The sequence below is a fragment of the Homo sapiens genome, chromosome 20 (genome assembly GCF_000001405.40).
Source record: "Homo sapiens chromosome 20, GRCh38.p14 Primary Assembly".
Taxonomy (NCBI): domain Eukaryota; kingdom Metazoa; phylum Chordata; class Mammalia; order Primates; family Hominidae; genus Homo; species Homo sapiens.
In genome coordinates, this window is record NC_000020.11 from 34,839,831 (window position 1) to 34,864,775 (window position 24,945).

General features: G+C 48.1%; 1 protein-coding gene across 11 annotated transcripts in view, besides 1 other annotated feature; it reads right to left on the minus strand.

Annotated features, from left to right (window-relative positions):
- Nucleotides 1-4,889: 4,889 nt before the first annotated feature.
- The window catches only part of GGT7 (gamma-glutamyltransferase 7), a 28,137-nt gene continuing 8,081 nt past the window's right edge, over nt 4,890-24,945 (minus strand). The window contains exons 2-16 of one of the 11 annotated variants that reach the window (XR_001754240.2): nt 23,483-23,718; nt 22,984-23,135; nt 21,615-21,732; nt 20,424-20,491; nt 20,139-20,212; nt 19,613-19,809; nt 16,976-17,063; nt 14,966-15,093; nt 14,701-14,789; nt 12,559-12,708; nt 12,325-12,442; nt 11,401-11,538; nt 10,131-10,230; nt 8,672-8,837; nt 4,890-5,661 (exon numbers count right to left, since the gene is read on the minus strand). Coding sequence is in view for 10 of the 11 variants with exons in the window: in XM_047440107.1 (XP_047296063.1) it covers nt 5,498-5,661; nt 10,131-10,230; nt 11,401-11,538; nt 12,325-12,442; nt 12,559-12,708; nt 14,701-14,789; nt 14,966-15,093; nt 16,976-17,063; nt 19,613-19,809; nt 20,139-20,212; nt 20,424-20,491; nt 21,615-21,732; nt 22,984-23,135; nt 23,483-23,718; nt 23,850-23,859 (1,830 nt within the window). In the remaining variant the exon portion in view is untranslated. Of the gene's footprint in view, nt 5,662-8,671; nt 8,838-10,130; nt 11,088-11,400; nt 11,539-11,753; nt 12,232-12,324; nt 12,443-12,558; nt 12,709-14,700; nt 14,790-14,965; nt 15,094-16,975; nt 17,064-19,612; nt 19,853-20,138; nt 20,301-20,423; nt 20,557-21,614; nt 21,733-22,983; nt 23,136-23,482; nt 23,719-23,849; nt 24,655-24,945 lie in introns of those variants that run through there. The other 10 variants (XM_047440107.1, NM_001351702.2, NM_178026.3 and 7 more) reach the window with 10 other exon arrangements.
- Nucleotides 23,203-23,754: an enhancer, noted in NCBI's record as "H3K4me1 hESC enhancer chr20:33450836-33451387 (GRCh37/hg19 assembly coordinates)". NCBI's record gives its function as "activates a minimal SCP1, AML or CMV promoter by ChIP-STARR-seq in primed H9 embryonic stem cells {active_cell/tissue: H9 hESC(primed)}" and the evidence as "EXISTENCE:reporter gene assay evidence [ECO:0000049][PMID:30033119]".

Genomic DNA, 24,945 nt, shown 5'->3' on the forward strand with positions numbered 1-24,945 from the left:
TCAGTAAATGGAATTGTTTTCTTTCTTTTTTCTTTTTCTTTTCTTTTTTTTTTTTTAAGGGTCTCACTCTATCACCTAGGCTGGAGTGCAGCGGCGCCATCAATCCACCTTCTGGCCTCAAGCTATTCTCCCACCTCAGCCTCCCGAGGAGCTGGGACTATAGGCACACACCACCACTGTCAGTTAATTTTTGTAGAGACAAAGTTTCACCATGTTGCCCAGGCTGGTCTCCAACTCCTAGGCTCCAGCAATCCTCCAGCCTCAGTCTCCCAAAGTGTTGCAATTCCAGGTGGGAGCCACTGTGCCTGGCCAGAATTGTTTTCTTAATTTCATTTACAGGTTGTTTATTGCAAGTGTACAGAAACTTTATACTGATCTTGTATTAGCAATCTTGCTGAACTCCTTTGTTAGCTGTCATTGTTTTCATTGATTTCTTAGGATTTTTTGTATACAAGATCATGCCATCTGCAAATAAAAATAGTTTTACTTTTTACTTTCCAATCTGGAGGCCTTTTACTTCTGTATCTTGCCTAATTGCCCTGACTAGAACATCCAATACAATATTGAATAGAAGTAGCAAGAATGGGTATGCTCTAATCTTAGTGGGAAAGCATCCAATCTTTAACTATTAAGTATGATGTTAACTGAGGGTTTTTTATATTTGCCTTTTATCATGTTGAAGAAGTTCCCTTCTATTCCTGGTTTGCTGAGTGTTTTTTGTTTGTTTGTTATCATGAAGGGGTGGTAGGATTTTGTCAGATGCCTTTTCTGCATCTATTGAGATGATCATGTGTTGTTTTTTATTCTACCAAAAAAATATAATGCAATACTTGATTTTTGAAAGTAAACCAAGCTTGAATTCCTGGAATGTATCCCACTGAGGCAGTGTATACTTCTTTTTATATGTTGTTGGCTAGTATTTTGTTGAGTATGTTACATCCATGTTCATAAAAGAATATTGGTCTGTAGTTTTCTTATTAGGTCTTATTTTGTTGGATTTTAATTTCAAGGTAAAACTAGCCTCACAGAATAAACTAGAAAGCGTTTCTTCCTCTTCTATTTATTGAAAGCTTTTTTTATAGAATTGGTATTAATTTTTTTCAATGTTTTGTAGAAATCACTAGTGAGGCCGTCTGAGACCTGGGCTTTTCTTTGTAAGTAGTTTGCTTTTTAGTATATATTACTAATCTCTTTATTTGTTATGTATCTCCTCAGATTGTCTATTTCTTCTTGAGTCAGTTTTGGTATGTGTCTTTCTAGGAAATTTTATGTTTCATCTAAGTTATCTGATTTATTAACATACAGTTGTTCATAGTATTTCTTTGTGATCCTTTTTTATTTCTGTAAGATTGTAAGTACTGTCCCATCTTTAATTTCTGATTCTAGTAATTTCGAGTCTTCTTTTTTTCTTGATCAATCTGGGACAGGTTTGTCAATTTTGTTGATTTTTTCAAAGAGCCAGGATTTGGTTTTATTGATTTTCTCTATTGTTTTTCTATTCTCTATTTCACTAATCTCTGCTCCAATCTACCCAGTTTATGATATTTTGGTATGGCAGCCCAAATGAACTAAGACACTCTGTCACTTGAAAGACAGCCTGGGAGAGTAGGTATGACTACAGGCATGGCTCAGGCACCTAAAGATATCAGGGCAAGGATCACCCAAACATCCATCAAAAGGAAACTGGTTAAACCCTTCAGTGAACTACGATGCATTATTATAAATAATGAAGTGGATCCATATATATTAACAGGGGAAAATGCCCACGCTCTATTGGTAAGTTAAAAAAAAAAGGAAGTTGTAGACAGTGTGAAAATATAGTCCCATTTTTACTTTTTAAACAGAATATATGTTAGTGTACAGAAAAAAGTTGGAGGAATGTGTATTAAATTATTGACAATGAGATTTTTGGAGGGTTTGGATTTTGAAGGGGTGGATTACAGATATACATTATATATCTATAAAGTATTTGATATTTGAAAAACTGTTATATCTGCAATCCAATAAAATAATTTAAAAATTTTTAAAGAAGTGGCCAGGCACAGTGGCTGAAGCCTGTAATCCCAGCACTTTGGGAGGCCAAGGCAGGAGAATCACTTGAGGCCAGGAGTTCAAGATCAGCCTGGGCAACATAGTGAGACTCTTGTTTCTACAAAAAAATGAAAAATTAGCCAGGTGTGGTGGTATGCGCCTGTAGTCCCAGCTACTTGGGAGTCCGAGGCAGGAGGATTGCTTGACCAGGAAAGTTGAGGCTACAGTGAACAGGGATTGCAACACTGCACTCCAGCCTGGATGGCAGAGTAAGACCCTATCTCTAAAAAAAAAGATAAAGAAACGAAGGGGAGGGAAGGGAAGGGAAAGAAGGGGAAAGAAAGGGAGGGAAGGAAGGAAGAAAGAGAAAGAAGGAAAGCAAAAGAGAGACAGTGAGACAGAGGGGAAGGGAAGGGGAGGGGAAGGAGAGGGGAAGGAGAGAGCAAGGAGAGGGGAGAGGAGGGGAGGAGAGGGAAGGGAAGGGAAACATAGTCTATGGAGTCGAACAGATGGCTTTTGAATCATGGATCTGTGAAAGGAGGGGAAGGAAGGGAGAAAAGAAGAAAAGAGAAAGGTAGGAAGGAAGGAAAGGAAAAGAAAAAGAAAGAAAGAAAGAGACATAGTCTATGGAGTCAAACAGATTGCTTTTGAATTATGCATCTGCCAACTACCAGCTGGGTGATCTCTGGTAAGTTGCTTCGGGTCTCTCAATTTTCTCATCAATAAAATGGGGGAATTAATACCAGCCTCATAAGAATGAGCTACCTATCTCACCAGTTTCATCTCATCTCATCATCCCCTCGGGGTGCTCTAGTGTAGGGGTCAGCACACTACTGCCCTTATAGCAGTAAGGGTCTGGTTTTTGTTTGTTTGTTTGTTTGTTCTTGAGACGGAGTCTCGCTCTGTCACCCAGGCTGGAGTGCAGTGGCGCAATCTCGGCTCACTGCAAGCTCCGCCTCCCGGGTTCACGCCATTCTCCTGCCTCAGCCTCCCGAATAGCTGGGACTACAGGCGCCCGCCGCCACGCCCGGCTAAATTTTTGTACTTTTAGTAGAGACAGGGTTTCACTGTGTTAGCCAGGATGGTCTCGATCTCCTGACCTCGTGATCCGCCCGCCTCGTGCCTCCCAAAGTGCTGGGATTACAGGCGTGAAGGGGTCTGTTTTCAGAAAATAAAGTTCTGGCGGGGCGCGGTGGCTCACGCCTGTAGTCCCAGCATTTTGGGAGGCCGAGGTGGGCGGATCACGAGGTCAGAATATGAAGACCATCCTGGCTACACGGTGAAACCCTGTCTCTATTAAAAAAAAATACAAAAAAAAAAATTAGCTGGGCGTGGTGGGCTCCTGTAGTCCCAGCTACTCGGGAGGCTGAGGCAGGAGAATGGCGTGAACCTGGGAGGCGGAGCTTGCAGTGAGCTCCACTTGCAGGCAGAGCTTGCAGATCGCGCCACTGCACTCCAGCCTGGGCAACAGAGCGAGACTCTGTCTCAAAAAAAAAAAAAAAAAAAAAAAGAAAAGAAAGTTCTATTGGAACACATCCACAGCCATCAGGATGTTGTCTTACACATTGTCTATGGCTGCTTTTGCACTTCAGCAACAAAGTTGAGTAATTACTACAGGAACCATATGACCTACAAAATCTGAAATATTTACTCTCTGGTCCTTTGTAGGAAAACTCTGCCAACCCCTGCTCTAGGAAGAATATATAGGCCTTCTTTCACCTCCTAAAACATGACACATTCCTTCTCACCACAATACCTTTGAACATACTGTTCCCTTTGCCTAGAATGACATTCCCACATCCCATATCTAATCCTTTCCTGTCAATCCTATTCATTCTCATGACCTTCTCAGGGAAGCTTTTGCGGATCCTCAAACTAGATTAACTTTCTTGATATACATTCTCTTAGTATCCCTCATAGAGTTTATTGTGATGGCAATTACCCGAATTATCTGTGCTCTTATTTCTTTAACATTTGACTGCCCCGATAGACTGCAAACCCATTAAAAAGTCTGTCTTGGCTAGGCGCGGTGGCTCATGCCTGTAATCCCAGCACTTTGGGAGGCTGAGGTGGGCGGATCACCTGAGGTCGGGAGTTCAAGACCAGCCTGACCAATATGGAGAAACCCTGTCTCTACTAAAAATACAAAATTAGCCAGGTGTGGTGGTGCACGCCTGTAATCCCAGCTACTCAGGAAGCTGAGGCAGGAGAATCGCTTGAACTGGGGAGGTGGAGGTTGCGGTGAGCTGAGATCACGTCATTGCACTCCAGCCTGGGTGACAAGAGCAAAACTGTCTCAAAAAAAAAAAAAAAAGAAAAGAAAAGCCTGTCTTGTTCAGTGCTGAATCTCTAGTGCCTAACAAAGTACCTGGAATGTAATGGATAGAAGAATGTATGCATGAATGATATTATCTATAAAAGGTATTTATTGTCTGATATATACTATATGACGTATACTTTATAACAAAGAGTTCAACTAATAGGTGTGGAATTGGTTAAGAGCACAAATTCCAGAGTTGGACATGCTGAGATGAACCCCAGTTCTTCCATTTAATAGATGAAGAACCTTAGACAAGTCCCTTAACCTCTTTTGGCCTGTTTCCCATCTGTAAAATGGCAATAATATTAGTACCTACTTCATGAGGCTTGTAATAAAGATTAGATGCTATATATTATAGTTATTGGTGTTATGAATTATTATTATTGGTGCATGTCTTAGCTGGACAGATATTATTATGAGTCCTTCAACGTTGACTCCAGGTTACTCTTGAATCGGTTACTGGGACAGGGTGAGCCGAGGTCTCCTCTCCCACTCCCACTCTCAACCCAGTTAAATATAAATTAAACCAGAGCCATGGTTAAGCAACATTCTTTCTTTAATTTCCCTTTGCAAATGGAAGCCCCTGAGCTGGTGCCCACCCCCACCCCTACCCCATACCCTGGGGACCCCCGATGCAAGGCCCCCACCTCAACCTGGTGGGAAAAGAGGAGCACCCCCTCCCTATGATGGTCCATTAAAAAATTCCTAGTCATTTAAGAAATGAGGCTGGGAATGGGAGAAAGGAACTGGAAGACAAGGCCCAGGTCAGGCCAGTCTGAAGATGTTGGGGTTGTGAGACCCTTGAGAAGGGTTTGCAAGCACATCCCTAAGCTCGGGGCCAGCATGGCTGAAGGAGGAGAGGTGACACACAGACAGATAGTCTGATTCCTCAAGGTCCTGCCTGCCTGGCTGTACTGTAGATGCTGACACTCACCACCACCACCACCACCACCACCACCACCACCACCACCACAGGCCTCCTGATGGAGAATTTTCCAGTTACTCTGGGATTGGGTTTGCTAAGCATCCCCTCTGGCCCCTGATCTGGGGCATCCCTGGGGTCCCCCTGAGACCAAACCTGGGAGAAGGAGGGACTCTGGGAACATGCAAAGTGGGGGAGCAGAGACCCCGCCCCACCCCGCTGCTCTACAGGATGGTGGCTCCAGCTGCATCTGGGCTCCGAGGGTCCTTAACAGCGATGATGAAGTTGTTGGTCCTTCGGCTGCCATGGACCCAGGATAAGACATCTACTTTCTCCACGTGGTGACCCCTGGCTTCCAGGAACTCAATCTCTTCCTCTGTGAACTCACCTGAAAACCATCCCCGACATATACACATTCAGAATGTACAGAGCACTAGTTCAAGAGTCCTACAGTCAGACCTGAGTCCTCATCCTGGCTGCTCCACCACAGAGCTGTATGACCTTGGACAAATCACTTTACCTTGCTGAGCCTCAGTTTCCTCATGCATAAATAGGGATTATATGAGAACATGAAGTTGCAGGGACTAAAGGAGATAATGCACACACAGCACTGAACCTTGCATACAGTAAGTGATCAATAATATGCAGTCATTCTTAATATTGAAAACAGGACAGGCCGGGTGCAGTGGCTCATGCCTGTAATCCCAGCACTTTGGGAGGCTAAGGTGGGAGGATCACTTGAGCCCAGGAGTTTGAGACTAGCTTGGGCAATATAGGGAGACCCCATCTCTACAGAAAATTTAAAAATTAGCTGAGCGTGGTGGTACATGCCTGTAGTCCCAGATACTCAGGAGGCTAAGGTAGGAGGATCGCTTGACCCTGGGAGGCACAAGTTGCAGTAAAGTAAGCTGAGATTGCACCACTGCACTCCAGTCTGGGCAAAAGAGCAAAACCCTGTCTCCAAAAAAAGAAAAGAAAGAAAATGGAAGGAAGGAAGGGAGGGAGGGAGGGAGGCAGAAAAAAGAAAAAGGGGCTTTGTGGGTCTTCATCTCCACCTGCCAAAGTCAAGCTGCCATCATTACTTGCCAGGATTTCTGCATAATCCACTAACTGGTCTCCCTGCTTCCAGCCCTCCCTTCCTTCCTTCCTTACTGGTCTCCCTGCTTCCAGCCCTCCCTCCCTCCCTCCCTTCCTTTCTTTCTTTCTTTCTTTTTTTTGAGGCGGAGTCTCACTCTTGTTGCCCAGGCTGGAGTGCAATGGCACGATTTTGGCTCACCTCAACCTCTGCCTCCCAGGTTCAAGCGATTCTCCTGCCTCAGCCTCCCCAGTAGCTGGGATAACAGGCTTGCGCCACCACACCCGGCTAATTTTCTATTTTTTTTTTTTGTAGAGGTGGGGGTTTATCCATGTTGGTCAGGCTGGTCTCGAACTCCTGACCTCAGGTGATCTGCCCACCTCAGCCTCCCAAAGTGCTAGGATTACAGGCGTGAGCCACCGCGCCTGGCCCCCTGCCTTTCTTATAGCCTGTTCAAACAGCAGCCAAGGGGATCCTTTTAAACCATTAGTCAGACCTTGTCACCTCCCCTGCTCAAAGCCCTCCAACAGCTTCAACGGAATTTAGAATAAAATCCAAAGTCCTTACCAAGGTGCCTCTAAGCCCAACATTGCTTGGGACCTTGCTACTTCTCTAAATTCCTCCCCTCATTTCCTTCTATTTCTCACCTTGCTTAACTGTATTCCAGCCACATTGACCTCCTTGCTGTCCCTTTAGAAGGCCAAACATGTTTCTACTTCAGTGCCTTTGCACTTACTGTTCTTTCTGCCTGGAATGCTCTCCTAGAAAGTCACACTGCTGGCCCCCTTACTGCTATCCAGTCTTTGGCACCTCTTCAAGAATTTCCTCCACCATTACCTAAAACAGCAGTCCCTACCATCTTTACCTTGTTTGGTTTTCTTCCAAAGTACTTACTGCTACCTGTATTTGTTTATTTATTTACTGTGTCTCCCTCCACTAGATTATAAGCTTTTTGAAGTTAGGAACGTTGTCTTGTTTGCTATTGATCTCCAGTGACAGGGTCAGTACATAGTAAATATTGAGCAGATACTTACTACATAGATGAACAAATCCCCATCCCATTGGATAAGTTCAGACCCTCATCATCTCTTGCCTGGGCCATATCCCAGCTGCTTCTCATATTTCCCTGACTTAAATTCTCCTCCCCTCAATCTACCTCCCCTAAATAAGACAAATCAGGTCATGTGTCTCCCCTTCCCAACTGGATAATCTTAAGGCTGACCTCTGTGAGAAGCCCTGTAACTCCACATCCTACCGCTTCTCAATAAAGATCTAGTCTTCTTCTTTCCCTAATAGGAAGACTTTTGGTAGCTCTTGAGATGAAGACCCAATCTTGAATAGCATTAAATCACTTAATCGAAAATCTATTTCCTTTGTGGTTCACTTTCAATCCTTTTGATTATGGCAAGGAACAAGTTTCAGTCTGCTCTCTAACGCTTCCTAATCTCCTTCTTTAATGGAGAAAGCAGTCTCAGAGCCTTCCATGGGCAACAATATTTAACTAAAAACTACACATATCTATTTGTATAGCTAACAAATAGATGATAGCTATTTGTCATCTATTTGTGGCAAATGATGTCATTTTTCCATTTGTGATTATGATATAAGGTCTATTTTTAAAATACATTTAGGGCCGGGCATGGTGGCTCACGCCTGTAAATCCAGCACTTCGGGAGGCCGAGGCAGGCGGATTACTTGAGGTCAGGAGTTTGAGACTAGCCTGGCCAGCATGGTGAAACCCTGTCTCTACAAAAATGCAAAAATTAGCTGGGTGTGGTGGCATGTGCACCTGTATTCTCAGCTACTCGGGAGGCTGAGGCACGAGAATCACTTGAACCCAGGAGGTGGAGGTTGAAGTGAGCTGAGATCGCACCACTGCACTCCAGCCTGGGTGACAGAGTGAGACTCTATCTCAAAAAAATAATAAAATACATTTAGGCTAAAAAGGAAGTTCATTTAGAGAGACATGTTATGTACATATTGGTTTAGATGGTGTGCAAATGTGGCAAAAGTCACAAAGGTGCTGGGTAAATTGAGAACTCTAGGAAACAACAGCTAGCCTCCTGGCTGCTCTCTGAGCCATTCATTCTGGTTTTTGCCTAGGCTGTTCCTCCTGTCCAGAATGTCCTTTACCTCCACATACCAAATTCCTACTCATACTTCAAAGCCAAGCTACTTGTCACCTCCTCCATAAAGCCTCCCCAGGGCCTCAGGTAGATGAACTTTCCCTTCACCAAGCCCCCACTCCTTGTACCTCCATCTTACACTAAGGCCCTGAAGGCAGGACTGGGCTGAGCCCAAATAACTTAGCACAGAGCCTCACATTCAACAGAGACCAGCAGATATTTGTTGAACAAAATTCAATTTCAAGGATGTGGCCTTGTCATCTATCAGCTGGGATCCAAGTGTCGCTGGCCAACCACAGGATGTGATTGTTGAAGATCGCGGTCTCTGCTTCTAATGTGATTCAGTCCAGGAGATATCAAGAGCTGTGCAGTAAAGAATAGAGTCTTTGGTATCAGCCAGGTGTGTGTCCTAATTGAAGTTCTGCCACTTAGTGGTTGATCTTTGACTAGTTTATAACTTCTGTGAGCCTCAGTTTCTTCCTCTATAGAATGGGGATAATAATATTGAACAGGCAAGGACTGTGTCTCAATCAATTCTGTATTCTTTTGGACTCGTGTCATATTAATACATTGTCTGTTATAATAAAAACTCCTCAAAGGTGCAGATACTTTCCTGTTTATAAAATTCAGCTGTGCCAAAATTAAGCCCTTTTCTTAGAGGAAAGTCCGTCTCCTCACCCTAAGGTCCACGATCCGGCGCCTGCCTGCCTCTCTGATCTAATTTCATCCTTGCTTACCTTGGTCTCCTTTTTAGTCCTCAAACTCACCAAACCCACTCCTGCCCTGAGTTCTTTGTACTTGCTCCCCTGACCTACAAAGCTCTGCACCAATTCTTTGTATAGTGGGCTCTCTCTTACTTTTTTTTTTTTTTTTTAGGAGATAGGATCTCACTCTGTTACCCAGGCTGTAGGGCAGTGGCGTGATCTTGGCTCACTGTAACCTCTGCCTCCCTGGTTCAAGCAATTCTCCTGCCTCAGCCTCCCGAGTAGCTAGAACCACAGGCACGTGCCATGCCTGGCTAATTTAAAAAAATTTTTTTATAGAGACGGGGGGGTGGAGGGGGGTCTCACTATGTTACTGAGGCTGCTCTTGAACTCTTGGCCTCAAGCGATCCTCTCACCTCAGCCTGGGATTATAGGTCTGAGCCATTGCACCCAGTTTCTTTCTCACTCTTTAGATCTCAGCTTAAATGCCACCAAAGAGAAGTCTTCCTTGATCATTGAGTCCGTCCTATTATATCACCCTGCTTTGACAGTTGGCAGAGCATTTATTTGTCTCATATTTCTTTGATGACTTATTTTCTTGTTTGCCTGTAAATGCAGAATCCCCAGCACCTAGGATGATGCCTGGAACACGTACGTGTTCAATACAAACTGTTGAGTAAATGAAAGTTTGAAGAATGAACAACTGTGTCTTATTTTACAAATGAGAAAACTGAGGCTCAGAGTTGAGACATGGATTTCCCAAGGCCACACAACCAGGAAATGGCAAGACTGGTTCCAATCCCCAGATCGTTCACTGCTCCAATAGAAATTTGCCAAATAAAACCAAACTTCACTGGCAGTTGGTGCTGGTTGAGGCATGGGCACCCTTGGGAGGAGTCCTTTCTCTACCTGTCCCTGTGCCCGCCCCACGAGGTCTCTGCTCTGCACTCACTGTCCACCTGCAGGAGGTTGGACTGCAGGTCCGGGTGTAGGCGGCCGCGGGCCAGGCTGTCACTCAGGTTCCGGTTCAAGGTCAGGACATTCAGCAGAACCTGTGGTAGCCAAGGTACAGAAAAATCAGGGCTGTCCCAGGGGTGATGGTCCAGGATTCCTCAGCTCTCACCCTTGGTCCAGGCTCCTTAGTCTTGAGAATTCTTACACCGGGTGTCATCTGAGCCTCCTAACAGCCCTGGAAGACAGGCAGGCCTGTGATGACTGTTTCCATTTCACAGAGAGGGAAAGTGAAGTCCAGCAAGGAAAATGACTTACTCCAGAGTTTAGAGGAAGCCAGGGAAGATACACCACTAGAACCAAGTCTCTTTAATCTAGCCCGGGGCTCCCTTCTTTTCTCTCTGGATAGGGCAAGGTTAATAGCTAGGAGTGGTCTAGGGCACAATGTGGGTGCTTTTAACTTAGTGGTTAGGAGTGTGCGTAGGCTCTGGAACCAAACTGCCTCCCTGCTCTTTCTAGCTGAAGGTACTTGACCTAAAGTCTTAACCTCTCTGGGCTTCGGTTTCCTTATCTATAAAATAGAAATAAGGATTCTCTCCAGAACTGGGAAGGTTAAAATGGTTAACACACATAACACAGTGCCCAGCACTTAGTACGAACTCTTTAAATGTTAGCTATTGTTATTATTTCCATTTTAAAGATGAAGAGACTGAGGTTCAGAGCTGTTAAGTGAATGCTCCAGCATCACACAGTTACAAATTGGTAGCACTTGGGCCGGAACCCAGGAGTGTCTGATTCCAGAACTTAAGATCGTTAACTCACCACCTGCCAAAATAGGTGCCTGGCATATATATCAGGTTCTCAAGACATTCATGGAGCCATTCTGAGGTGTTCTGGAGAAAAGCAGGCCCTTCCTTTCAAATCCCACCCTAAAGAGGGCTGGTTGTCTATTCAGATGCTGGGTAGAGGTATAATGGGACTTGAGGTTAACAGAACCCAGGCCACCCAGATGCTAACCCCACTTTTCAATCTACTGACCCTGCCATTTCCCCTGCAACCGGGAAAGACAGGGAGCATCAGGGCTCCATTTTCACTAAGAAACTCAGCGCAGCCCATGTCCACATTGCCCAGGATGCGCCTGGCACAAAACAGCCTCAGCCCATGTTTGCCGCATGAGGAATGGAAACAAGCCACAGATATGACAGGCATCTGCAGTCTAGGCCACAGCTTGGCTCCCGGCTGAAAAAGGCCAACCATGGCGTAAACCTCACCTGTGTCAGGCCGCTGAGGCCCCGCGCAGCTCCATTGGCCCCCAGAGCGAGGTAGGTTCCACAGAGCCCCTCCGCGGGTCGGACCACTGTGGGCAGCAGGAAAGAGAGTGGCCGCTTCCCTGGCTGCACTGAATTCTCCTGTTGTTAGAGGACAGAGACCACAAGGGGCAGGTGGGGTGGGACAAGACCGGGAAAGGGCCCCTCCACAACCCTTCCAACTGCTCTCCCTCTTCTACATCTTCCACAGGCCCAGTTTTCCTGGGAGACTGGTCCCTTCCCAGACAACAGTTTGCTATCTGTGAAATGGGTAGGGTGCCTGGATGGGTGGGGTGGATGGGGGAGTGATAAGTACATCCACTGAGCTATGAGGCTGCTACGGGTCACAGGAGAAAGGACCAAGCCAAGAAAGATGGCAATGGGGAAGAACAGGATAACCCCACCCTGATCATCTCTATGTGTCTTTGCCCTGCTGGGGCCCCAGATGGCGGGGTGTAAGAGTGCTGATTTTTAACTAGATAAAAATTATTAAATCCTTCCTCCTTGGGTCCCTCTTTGGTGCCCAACCATAGGGCTGAGCCCCATCAGCTCAAGCTCACATAGTCACAGACCGCTAGTGCTGGAAAATGCCCAAAACATCAAATAGGAGCCAAAACCCTCATTGTACAGGTGAAGAAATTGCCCAGAGAGGGCAAGATCTTCACAAGGTCACACAGTAAGACAGTGACAGAATGGGACAAGGGTTCTTCAGACCCACCAGGCTCCATGTCCCAGACTTAGCAGGGCTAGGGATGAGGTGAACCTCTTCTTTAGGCTTCCTTATACTAGAAGATTCTGGAGAAAGTAGGGAGAAAGGGGCAGCCATGCCATTGCACCTCCTACCTATAGGCCTCAGGGTCCCCAGGAAAGCAGGGAAGCAAATCCTACCAGGCTGGGTGCAGAGTGGTTAGCTGTCCGGTTGGGCCAGGAGAAGTCCAGCATCTGGCTGTTGAGCAGGATCCCCGAGGGGGTGATAAGGCCGCTGCCAAAGGGCTGGTTCAGGGAGCTGGGGGCCGAGGTGGGGTTGGGTGAGCCCTGGCCCATCCTCACCTCTACCCAGCCCCCACCCCCTCTTGGTTCAGAGGATCCCTTGTTCCAGGTTCTGAGTCTGAGCTGGCATACCTAACCATGGCCACAATGAAGTCATCAGGTCCCATGATCAGCACCTGGGCAGCCGTGGGAGCTCCGTCTAGTTCATAGACAGGCAGGAGTGGGGCAGGGGCTGCCTGGGAGTCATTGATATGGCCCCGGAGGTAGGCGGCCTCCACCTTGCTGAAAAGACAAGGGGTGGGAGATGAGCAAACAACAGGCTCTCAATACACCCCACCTACCTCACTTTTGTGGTGTTTGTGTAATTATTTGATGAAATCTACCTCCCTCACTGGACTACTAGGTCTATGAGTGCAGAAGCTCATTAATTGCACATAAGAAATACCCAGAAAATAGCTGTTGAATGTATTTAGGTATTATTTAGATTCTTTTCTGGAACCAACTTTTATTTAATGTTTAAATCAAGAGCCTTTTAGTTATCTGACTTCTTAATCCTTTCTATGAAAGTGCCTGGTGCATAATGGATCAGAAAATATTTGCTTTGAATTAACAAACTGGATTCATTTAAACTAATGTTTGTAGTCTAAAGTTTTATTAAGAGTTTAGTTGGGGGAGGATTTTGTATATGAGGATTTTTTTTTTCTTCCTAATGAGATAGAGTTTTTCTCTGTCACACAGGCTGGAGTGCAGTGACGCTGTCTCAGCTCACTGCAACCTCTGCCTCCCAGGTTCAAGTGATTCTCCTGCCTCAGCCTCCCGATTATCTGGGATTACAGGCACCTGCCACCACACCTAGCTAATTTTTTTTAGTAGAGACGGGGTTTCACCATGTTGGCCAGGCCGGTCTTGAACTCCTGACCTCAAATGATCCACTCACCTCGGCCTCCCAAAGTGCTGGGATTACAGGCATGAGCCACCACATCCAGTCAGGATCTTTACTTTCTTTTAGAGTTTTTTCCCAAGGCACAGAGTAAGTGCTCAATAACTATTTACTGGATGAACTGGTTGAATAGATTTCATATAGGTGTGTGTGTGTGTGTGTGTGTGTGTGTGTGTGTGTGTGTGTTTTAGAGCAAAGTTTGCATTGACCTTAGAAACAATATGTAATGCTCCAGACTTTTAAAAATTCAACTGAGGCGGGAGGCTGAAGCAGGAGAATTGCTTGAACCTGGGAGGCAGAGGTTACAGTGAGCCAAGATCATGACACTGCACTCCAGCCTGGGCGACAGAGCGAGACTCCATCTCAAAAAAAAAAAAAAAAAATTCAACTGAGGGTTTCTTACCTAATAACTATGTGTTGGATTATCCATAGCTGATTAGAGAATAAGTTACCAAAGATTACTTGAAGACATTTATTCAATTTTCAACCAAACAAAGCTTTACATGTATGATTTTGTTTAGTCCTTACCACAACCTTACAAGGTTGATACCATTATTGTCAAGCCCCCTTGTAGAAACAGATTTAGAGAGTTTAAACCACTTGCCCAAGGCTGCACAGCTAGCGAAGGGTCAAGCTGGAATTTGAATGAAGGCAGTCTCACCAGAGCCCACAAGCTACTACTATGTTATGTTGCTAATGAAGCTGTATTACCACCACCTTCAGTATTTGCTTGGAGACTGTTTGTTTGTTTGTTTTTGGAGACAAAGTCTCACTCTGTCACCCAGGCTGGAGTGCAGTGGCATGATCTCGGCTCACTGCAACCTCTGCTTCCCGGGTTCAAGTGATTCTCCTGCCTCAGCCTCCTGACTAGCTGGGACTACAGGCACGCGCCACCACGCCCGGCTAATTTTTGTATTTTTAGTAGAGGCAGGGTTTCACTATGTTGGTCAGGCTGGTCTCAAACTCTTGACCTCAGGTGATCCACCCGCCTTGGCCTCCCAAAGTACTGGGATTACAGGCGTGAGCCACCGTGCCTGGCTTTTGTTTGGTATTGAGCTTTCTTTTCCTACTCAAAAGGAGGAGCAGATGGGCTTATATAGGTGCTATGCTAGCCTCAAAAAAATTTAAGAGCCACATGAAGTAAGCCAACTCATTGTGCTGATAGGAAAGGTGAGGTGCAGGGAGAGGCACCCAGTGTCACGTTGTGAGTTGGGGTTGAGCTGAAATTGACTTAGGATTTCAGGCCTTTATTGCTATACCAGCTGCTTTTCTCCTGACCCTTTCCCCACACCCACCGCTGCCTCTGTAGCCCCCAGGTCCTGCCCAAGACCCACCTGAGCATGTCATCCATGCTCTCAGTGATGGTAGAATCATAGACGGGATCTCCCAGTCTGCTGGCCAGGGCTAATGCAATCTTCAGGGTCTGAAAATACAGCAGGGATATGGAAGAGGCTGCCAGGCCCCTCCCAGAACCCACACCCAGTGGACTTTCGTGTGTGAGAAAACTTGGAGGGGATTTAGTCCTGCCCTATGGCAGTACCCAATCTCCCCACTCCTAATATCCTTAAATCCAGGGAAAGGCAGACGGGTCAGCCTTACCTCTGCCACCCAGTGAAGAGCCTGTTCTCGGGATACCAGGCTGGTGAGATTGAAGCCCTCCAGGATGTTGAGAGCACTGATGAGGGCAGGGCCCGTGTGCGGAGGTGGGGGACTAAGAACCAGGTGGCCTGAAAGGACAGGAAGTGACTGATGGCAGGGTAGGGGTCAAGGCACCTTCACATCCCACATCCCATCTCCACATTCCACCATCACACACTGAGACCACTGCGCTGAACTCCCTCACCAGATGGGGAAACTGAAACATTGAGAGGCAAAGAGACTCATTCAAGTTCACATGGCAAGTCAAGGGCAGGGCCAGGACTTGAACTCAGAACACTGGTCTTCAGTTTCCTCTGCCATTTGAGAAAACTAAGGCTCAAGAGGGCTGTGGCTTGCCCAGAGTCACACTGCAGGCTATCAGCAGAGCACAGCAGAAACAGGTGACCAGATGTTCATATTCCTGGCCTGTCATGTGTCTCCTTTTAGCTCTCCCATAGGCCAGGATATTATCCATGACTCCTGATGGTCTCATCCAGCCCCAAACTTCTTGGCAGCAGCAACCTTCTCTTCCTATTCTGTTACTAGATGTTTGGACATCAAAGGAATAATAGCTGATGCATAACACTAACATTAACTCATTTAGTCCTCACTGTGGCTACTGTTATCACACATATTTGATAGGTCCAGAAACTGTGGTACAGAGAGACAAGGGGAATCCAGAGCACTCAAGGTACTAGCATTGTTGAGACAACCCAGGCTGGGAAGGGGAAATGGAAAATCTATATTCAGTGCATGCTCTGATCAGGGCAACTTCCTACATCATCTCATCAAATCCTTATGGGCATCCTAAGATGTAGGCACTATTATTATTTCCATTTTAAGGAGGGAACCAAGGCTCAGAGTGGGAAGTAGCTTGTTCAAGGTAAATGGCACAGTTGGTACTCAAACCCAGGTCTTCCTAGCTCCAACGCTACGCTTGTTCTTTTTTCTTTTCTGTGTGTGTGTGTGTGTGTGTGTGTGATAATGGTCTCACTCTGTCACCCAGGCTGTAGTGCAGTGGCACAATCATGCTTACTGCAGCCTTGACCTCCCAGGCTCAAGCAATCCTCCCATCTCAACCTCCTGAGTAGCTAGGACTATAGGTACACCACCACGCCTGGGTAATTTTTAAATTTTTTATAGAGACGGTGTCTCACTATGTTGCCCAGGCTGGTCATGAACTCCTGGGCTCAAGTGATCCTCCTGCCTCAGCCTCCCAATGTGCTGGGGTTATAGGCCTGAGCCACTGCACCCAGCTGATAGGCTCTTTCCATTGCTTCATATTCCACTGCCTCTGGCAGAGGAATCAGGTTGGAGATTGAGGCCTGGAAAGTTGAACTCAGAGAAACCCTTTCCTGGGGCTTGATGTGATCTGGCTCTCCTAGAAGGGAAAGAACCTGAGAATCTTCTGAGAAATCCAGCACCTACCACCTTGGGTTCAGTAAACATGGACCCCACCCATGTCATAAGCTTGGTTTTCTGGGTTCCCTGTTGGTTTTCTTGAGTTTGGCCAGTTGTTATATTCCCTCCTCGGGCCTCAATTTCTTTTTGGCACTATGAGGAGCTGGGTCTATGACTGTCTTGAAAGGTTCATTCTACTGTGAAGCTTGGATGGACTTTGTCTTAAAAATTCTTAGGAAGTACAGGGCAGTGACAGCGCTGCTGGGGAAAGGGCAGAGGCAACACAGAGCCCAAATCAAGAAAACCTATGGCCAGAACCCCAACTTCCAGGTTGGACCCTTTGACCAGGTCCACCCCCCAATATCCTAAATACTTGGGGTAACTGACCCCACAGCTACTTTTCAGAAGGTGGGCTGACTCTGGTTTGCTTCAACAGTTGACTGCCCAGGTAGCTCACTGCCTTAGTTTCTCTCCTGTGAAATGGAGAGGAGTCTCTAGGCCAAAACGATGTGGCCATGGACTGGGAGGCTTCTCCTGAGGGGGGACCCTGGGAGCCGGGGGAGAGGTCACCTCTGTACACGCCACACACAGGCTTCTCCACAAGGGCGCTGTAATTGCTGAAGTCCTCTTCGGTTATGACACCCCCTGCGTGCTGAGCCTGGAGGGAAGAGAATGAGGGAATGACCTCCCACCACTGTGACATGGTGGTTTTGGCCTATAACACGTTTGGATCACAGACAGATCAGCTGTTTATAACTTCTGTGCCTTCTGCAACCCCCATCGTGGCCTTTAGAGACCCCATTATCCCTAGACACCTCAGGAAAAAGGAAGGGGGAAAAGCACTAACATTGAGCACCTATCATGTGCCAGGCATCACACTGGGTACATTCCATGAATGACCTCCTTAGCTTGCCATTCAAGACTTTTTGTGATCTGGCCCCAGCCTACCCCTCCCACCTCATGTCCTGCTGTTCCCCAGTGAGCTCTATGCAGCTGCAGAGTGACCTGCAGTTCCTGAACTCATGCCTTCGTGTCTTTGTACCTGCTGCTCTCTCTGCCTATGTAAAAGGAAGGTTTTCTACTTATGGCACACTTGCCTAGGAGATACCAAAACTGAATGCTGCATCTCACCACAACCAACTAAAGCCACTAGAAAACCATGACTTTGAGTGATCCTAGAAGGACTGACCCTTATTGGACATAACCAAGCCCTCATTATTGACCAATGAACCAATCTTGTACAAACCAATGGGCTCATTCCATCCTATCCAGTGTGCTGTCAACCCTAAATTAGCATAACCACTCTGAATCCTTTCCTTTTTTGTACCTTATAGTACTTGAAACCCTTGAGTTATCTATCTTCAGAGAATTACACATTGATTTTTTTTTTTTTTTTTTTTGAGGCAGGGTCTCATTCTGTCGCCCAGGCTGGAATGCAGTGGCACGATCATGGCTCACTGTAGCCTCAACCTTCCCAGGCTCAGATGATCCTCCTGCCTCAGCCTCCTGAGTAGCTGGGACTACAGGCACATGCCACCACACCTGGCTAATGTTTGTATGTTTTGTAGAGATGGGGTCTCACTATGTTGCCCAGGCTGGTCTCAAACTCCTGAGCTCAAGTGATCCACCCATCTTGGCCTCCCAAAGTGGGGATTACAGGCATGAGCCACCATGGCCTGGCCCATTTGAATTCTTGAGTTCCTTTTTCTGGCAAGTTAATAAACTCAACTTTGGGTTTCTTTTTATCAAAGATCTGATGGTCTTTGTTACAATCTCCTGCATTCCCTTTGCCACCTCCAGGAAAGGGCACACAACCCAGGCCTGGCCAATTGGGGCATTCCCTTCTGTGCCACAGTGATTGATTTGGGAATAGTCATGAAACCTATGATGAGCTAATAAGACACAACCTGGAGGCTTTTGCTGGAACTACTGGGAAGGAAAAATGCTCTTTCTCTGGGATAGCTTGCTGGAAGGATGGCCTGATATGGGCTGGTGGGGAGCAGGTGGAAAGGATCTGAGAGTGAATCCAAACAAAGGAAAGTAGAGTTGAGAGAGAGAGAAAGAGAAAGAGGGAGAGCAAATCCTAACACAGTGGATTGATAATCTGGACACAGAAGAATCTAAAGCCAGTAATCTCCTGGACTTTCCAGTTAAGTCTGTTTGAGTCTATCGCCACATCCAGTGCCCAGCATAGGGCTTGGCACAGAGCAGGCACTCTGTGAATGTTGAATGAATAACAGACCTATTTAATTCCCACAACTGTATGGCAGAGACAGATATAATCATCCCCATTGCTCAGATGAGAGAACCACTGAGTTGGTCTATGCATCCTTACCATGAACTTAATTTTCCATTAGGACTTTTGCACTATTAATGACAGTTCTCACATCTGTTACTGCCTGAGACTGGGACTCTTTGGGATTGGATGGTAAACTTCTGTGTCAATCTCCCCAGTCTTGATACTCAACAATGAAAGAGGTGCTTCCCTCAGTCCCTAGAAAACCCAAAAGCAGGGAAGGATTGTGAGCTTAGGGAAGCTGAGGCCGATACTGGGTCTCCACCAGGCCTGGGAGGGACATGACAAGCCCCTGCACAGGCTGGCATCACCCCTGAGAAGCCCAAAGGTACCTCTGAATCAAGACAGAACACTTCTGGCTAGGCATGGGGGCTCACACCTGTAATCCCAGCACTTTGGGAGGCCAGGACAGGTGGATCTCTTGAGGTCAGGAGTTCGAGACCAGCCTGGCCAACATGGTGAAACCTCATCTCTACTAAAAATACAAAATTAGCTGGGTGTGGTGGTGCACACCTGTAATCCCAGTTACTCGGGAGGCTGAGGCAGGAGACTCACTTGAACCTGGGAGGCGGAGGTTGCAGTGAGCCAAGATCGCACCACTGCACTCCAGCCAGGGTGACACAGCAGGACTCCGTCTCATAAAAAAAAAAAAAAGACAACACTTCCATCATCCCAGGAGGTTTTTCATGTCATATCCCAGTCAGCTCCTCCCAGCCCCACCAACCACTGATCTGATTTCTGTCACTAGAGGTTAGTTTTGACTATTCTAGAATTTCAAATGAACATAATCCACAGTAAATAATATAGAAAGAAAGGGAGGGAGGGAGGGAAGGAAGGAAAAAATGCGGACGCGGATGTCCTGCAATAGGGACCTTGGGGCATGCCCCCACCCGCACAACACGAGCACTTACCTCGGCCACCATCTCCAGTGTGAGGTTGCCACCTGCGTAGAAGGCAGCCGGGCCGGAGGTGCCAAGTACATCCAGCACCTCAGCCAGGTCGGGCCGATGCAGCAACGAGCCAGGTAGTGGCGGGCGGCCCGATGGCAGGAACGTCTCCCGGAAGCGCTCGGACATGTTGGGTGGCAGCTGTTCAGCCAGGGCACGGGCTAGGGGCAGGGACGGGAGGCTGGGCAGGGCGGGACGCCAGGACTGGACCGGATGAGACGCGCAATAGATGGGGTAGATGGGGGCTGAGTGGCCCACCCTAAGTGCCCTGACCCCCAGGAGCCTGTTAAGTGCGAGGCAGGGATGTCTAAGGGCCCTTCCCAGACCCCCTCGTTTGAGGCCGCCTCCAGGTGAGGGTGGGATAAGGTGGGGAGGGGGTCTGAGGAGCAAACTGGAAGAGAGGGCCTCTCTGGCTTGGGCTCCAAATCTCAAAGATTCTACCCTTCTCCATCAACCTCATGTCTCTCCCAAATCCCCAGGCCCCACTGACCTAGATCATGAGTCACGTTGAAGCCATCTTGGGCCACAGCTGCTGCAAAGGCCAGGACTTGGGACCATGGCAGCCTGGGGGGGCCGGAGAGCAGGGGGTGGAGGAGGTCCTGGGGGAATGAGGAGGGGTCCGGGGGGAGGGGGGTTCCTGGGAAGGAGAGTCCTGGCAAGGGAAGGGGATATTAGGAGGGGGAGTTGGGAAAGGAAGAATCCAGGGAAGTAGGAGAAGGCCACCCAAGGAGAGATGCAAACGGGGGTCCCTGGTCCCCAGGGGGAGGGTTGTTACCTGCCATAGAGCTGGTGAGCTTCATGTAGCCCCTTCACCATTCCGGGAACCCCCACCAAGAGCCCAGGCTGGGCAAGGCGGGTAGGCGAGGGAGAGAGGAGACCAGGTCACTGGAAGGGGGGTGCTGGGCTGAACTCCGCAGAGCCCCAAGCCAGGGATGGCTGGCACAGGGGAGAGACACAGGCCAAGTATCCCAGGGGAGGGACAAGCTTTCCCAAGCAGGCACCCCTCCCATCTCCCTGACTTCCTATCAGCAAATGCAGAAAGGCCTCTTTTAGCTGCCGTAGTTGGGGGATTTATAAATTAAGCAAAACTCTTTTAAGAGCCAGGACATAACCAGTGTAGAAAGACACCTGTCTACATTGGATTTCACCAACCCCTGCCTTTTTTTTTTTTTTTTTTTTTTTTTCCTGTTACCCAGGCTGGAGTACAGTGGCATAGTCATAGCTCACTGTGGCCTCCAACTCCTGGGCTCAAGTCAAGCGATCCTTGGTGCATGCTACTGTGCCTGGCTAATTTCAAAGCATTTTTTGTAGAGACAAAGTCTCACTATGTCACTCAGGCTGGTCTCAAACTCCTGGCCTCAAGCAATCCTCCTGCCTTGGCTTCCCAGAGTGTTGGGATTACAGGTGTGAGCCACTGTGCCCAGGCAACCCTACCTTTTAAAACGGTGGACAAAGGACCTTCATTTAACCTATTCAGTTTCACCCCACCATTACTCTGAGCTCTGAAGACTCAGGGGTGTGTTTGGCTTTTGCCACCGCACTAAGTACCCATTTTTCCAAGTTATTCGATATCTTCTTTTTCTTTCAGCAGACAGTTGGTTTACTTCTGGCAATTCCCCTCTAATCTTCCAATATATCAAGGGCTGGGAAAGTTATAGTCAACTGGCTCAGAGTGAGATGTGTGAGTTTCATTGCATCAACTTCGTGACATTTCAGGGTACTCAGTAGCCTTTTTTCTTCCTTCCCACGTGCCAGATAGGTAAGATTCCCAGAGAAGTAAGGTTCCAGATTTTCTAGTTCATTATTTTATCTTGGGGGCTGCCTGACTCTCTCATAGCCTAAGAGAATCCTGCTCAACTCTTTTTCCCACTCCCCTGGTAAATACTTAGCAAATTAATGCTTGGGTTAGCAGAAGGGCAATGAAGAGAGACTCCCCTGAACTCTCTCTTCTCACCAGGGTCCCCACCTTGGTCTCCCAGGATCTTTGCAGGGTCTCTTCCCTGAGGGCCCCTGGTGCGGACTCCCGGAAATCAATTAGGTGGCTCTCATTTCGTCGGATGTCATGTACCAGCATCACGCCCCCACTGGGAGAGACACAGAAGGGGAAGTGTGATGATAACATGCTACCCCTCTGTACAATGAATCTGCTGCCCCTCCACCCCCAGTGGTGAGAGCTGTAGGCTCAGTTTTTCATTTGGGGTCAGGTGTCTGAGCTCCCTCCCCAGCATGGATTCACAGACTCAGCCACCCTAAGAGGATGGGAGCAAAACCAAGAGGGTTGGAGACCCAGGGTCCATGGACCTCTTCTATCCTGTCACTGGAGACTTTAATCCCTGATTAGGAAAAGCCCAGAGACTGGCAGAACAGGATGTTCTGCCCCATGCCCCCACCCTGGACCAGAGCTGGACCCCTGCCAGCTTCCTGCACCTGTCTACTTGGTATGTCCCTTGCCCCTCCCCCAGGACTGGATTATGTAAGGATAGAACATGCAAAACCAAAAGAGGAATTTCTTTGGTACGGCTTGGAGAGCTGGTCTTACAGGAGCCAAGATAGGAACTTTGTCAGCTTGTTCCTTTTCTGTAGCTTATTTACGTCTAAGATGGGGGCTGCAAACTTAAATGCCCACAGCCAAATGACAAACTAAGGCAAGCAGGACAGAGAAGAGGAAGTGGTAGAAACTACGGCAAACTGGACAGTGCATGCCCATCATGGGAAGCAGCTTCTATTCCACGCCAGGTAACTTCAGCCATGTGAGAATGCGGGCCCAAGTTGTTATCGGATTTCCCGATTGTTCAAGAGATGTTGGAAATCTGGATTTTTATGAAAATTCTCAACTTTTTAACAAAAGCAAACAAAATTTTAAGACAGTTCAGTGTCTAAACCAAACCAGTCTGTGTGCTGGGTGTTGCCCATGGGTGGCCAGCTTGTAACTTCTAAGAGTTCTTAGTGCAGGGTGTATTTTTGGAGGACAGAGGGTGCAAGGCTTTTCATCAGACCCATAGGGATTTATGATCCTAGAAGTTGAAATATCTCTGCCTTAATTGATGACAGTATACCTCCACCTGTGCATCTTAATTTATGGTTTACAAATTTCTTTTTCTAGTTAAAAAAAAAAAAAAAAAGCTTCTGAAAACACTTTCAGGTTTTCCATAAGGTAGCTTTGCTCTTCTGACTCCATCCAGGGAGAAGGGGGTGAAATTTGGTGTAGAAAGAGAAAATGCAAGGAGTTGGGGCCCAAAAGCCCCTCTCCCTAAGTTAGGAGTGCTGCACATGAGGCCTACAGACCTGGAGGCAAGAAGTAGGCCTGGGGGACCCCGACCTCCACTGCTCCTTACCCGCCCAGGCCAGAACTGTGTGGAGCCACGATACCCAAACACAAGGCTGCTGCCACCGCTGCGTCCACAGAAGATCCCTGTTTACTGAGCACCTCGATGCCCAGTGAAGTGCAGCGGGCAGCATCGGTCACCACGGCACCCTGCTGGAAGATCTGGGAGGGGAAAGAGGACTTGGTGGGGGCAGGAGGAGCTGTCCACCTCCCTAGGGCACCTCCACTAGCCCTAGAACTCTACGCGGCATGAAGGTCGAAGCCCTGCCCCCTTGTTGCCTTGACTCTGCCCTCATTACCCCAAGTGCCTCCTAATGGATCTGTCCTTATTCTTCCTTGTTCTGTCTCCCTCATGCCCTGGAGCTCCTCTCTTTGGGACCTTCCTCTCCCAAGTCACCACCCTCTCTCCCCTTCTACCACTCAGCCATTCCCCAGTTTCCACAGTTCCTCAAACATTACCCCACTCCCCACTCCCCAGTTTCCTCCCCCTCCCCATTTGTCCCCCTCACCTGGGGGTCCCCGAAGTAGATCTGCATGACCAGCGCCACGGTGACACCGGTAGCGAAGGTGAGACAGGCCGTGACGATGACCGTGAGCCCATCCTGGCGGCAGGAGCACTCGGCCGCTGCGGCGGAGAACGGGTCTTTGCGCGTCTCGCGTAGCGGCGACCCGTCTTGGCTGCCCATCTCCGACGACGACGATGGCAGCCGCTGCAGCCGTGCAGACTTCAGGAAGGAGTCCGGGTCTGCGGGCAGGCAGCCGGGGTCGGTCTGGGCATCTCCTATCTGGCCCTGCCCACCCTCCAGGTGGGACTATTCAGCGCTTTCCCTGCCCCGCCCCTGCCACACAATCCCCGCACTGGCTAGCACTACTCACCTTTCCTCATTTTCGCGTGCACCCCAGGACAGGCGGGGCAACGGTGCCCGGCTAGGAAGAGACAGGGACCTCCCCAGCTGGGCAGCAGGGAGGCTGGATTCCCGCCCCTCCCTGATACCTAGGCCAAATTTCCTGGCACCCAGGGCCCAGGGCTGAGAACACTTCCTGGGGGGTGGGGTGGGGGTTCCAGCCCTCAGTGGAAATCGGATCCTGCCCCAGTTGGGGCCCAGCCTTCCATGCAAGGAGGCAGCTACATAAACAGAGTGGAGGGACCCTGCCTTCCAACCTCACTTCAGTTATCAGCTCACTCATTCCTTAAATATGGAGAGCCCTATGCTAGGTGCCAGGGGACGGGAACAGATAGTTCCTGCCCTCATGTGGTTCATAGAGCCCTGGAAGAAAAAGCCAATAAGCAAAGGAGTCTATAATTACAAGTTGTGGCAGGTGCTATGAAGAAAAAGGAGGAAATGACAGAATAATGGTGGTAGGGGAGGGAGGATTCCTTAGCTGCAGAAATCAGGGAAGGCCTCTCAGGAAGTGACTTTTAAGCTGAAAACTAAGGGATGAGAAGGAGCCAGCTATAATGTAGAGCAAAGAGTATGTGTGTGGAATGTTCTGGAAAGAGGGAACAGTGGATGCAAAGGCCCTAAAGTGGGAATGAGCTTGGCACATTAGAAAAAAAAATAACCAAGGCCTGGGCGGCTCTGGTGTAGCAGGCATGGGGAAAGAGTAGTAAGGGTGGAAGCTAGGCCAGATACATACTGAGCGCAGTGGCTCAATCTTGTAATCCCAGCACTCTGGGGGGCCGAGGCGGGTGGATCACTTGAGGTCAGGAGTTTGAGACCAGCCTGGCCAACATGGTGAAACCCCGGCTCCACTAAAAATACAAAAATTAGCTGGGCATGGTGATGTGTGCCTCTAATTCCAGCTACTTGGGAGGCTGAGGCATGACAGTCACTTGAACCCACAAGGTGGAGGTTGCAGTGAGCCGAGATCGCGCCACAGCACTCCAGCCTGGGTGACAGAGTGAGACTCTGTCTCAAAAGAAAAAAAAAAAAAAAGGAAGATATGTGGGGCTCTACTAGCCTGGGGAGAA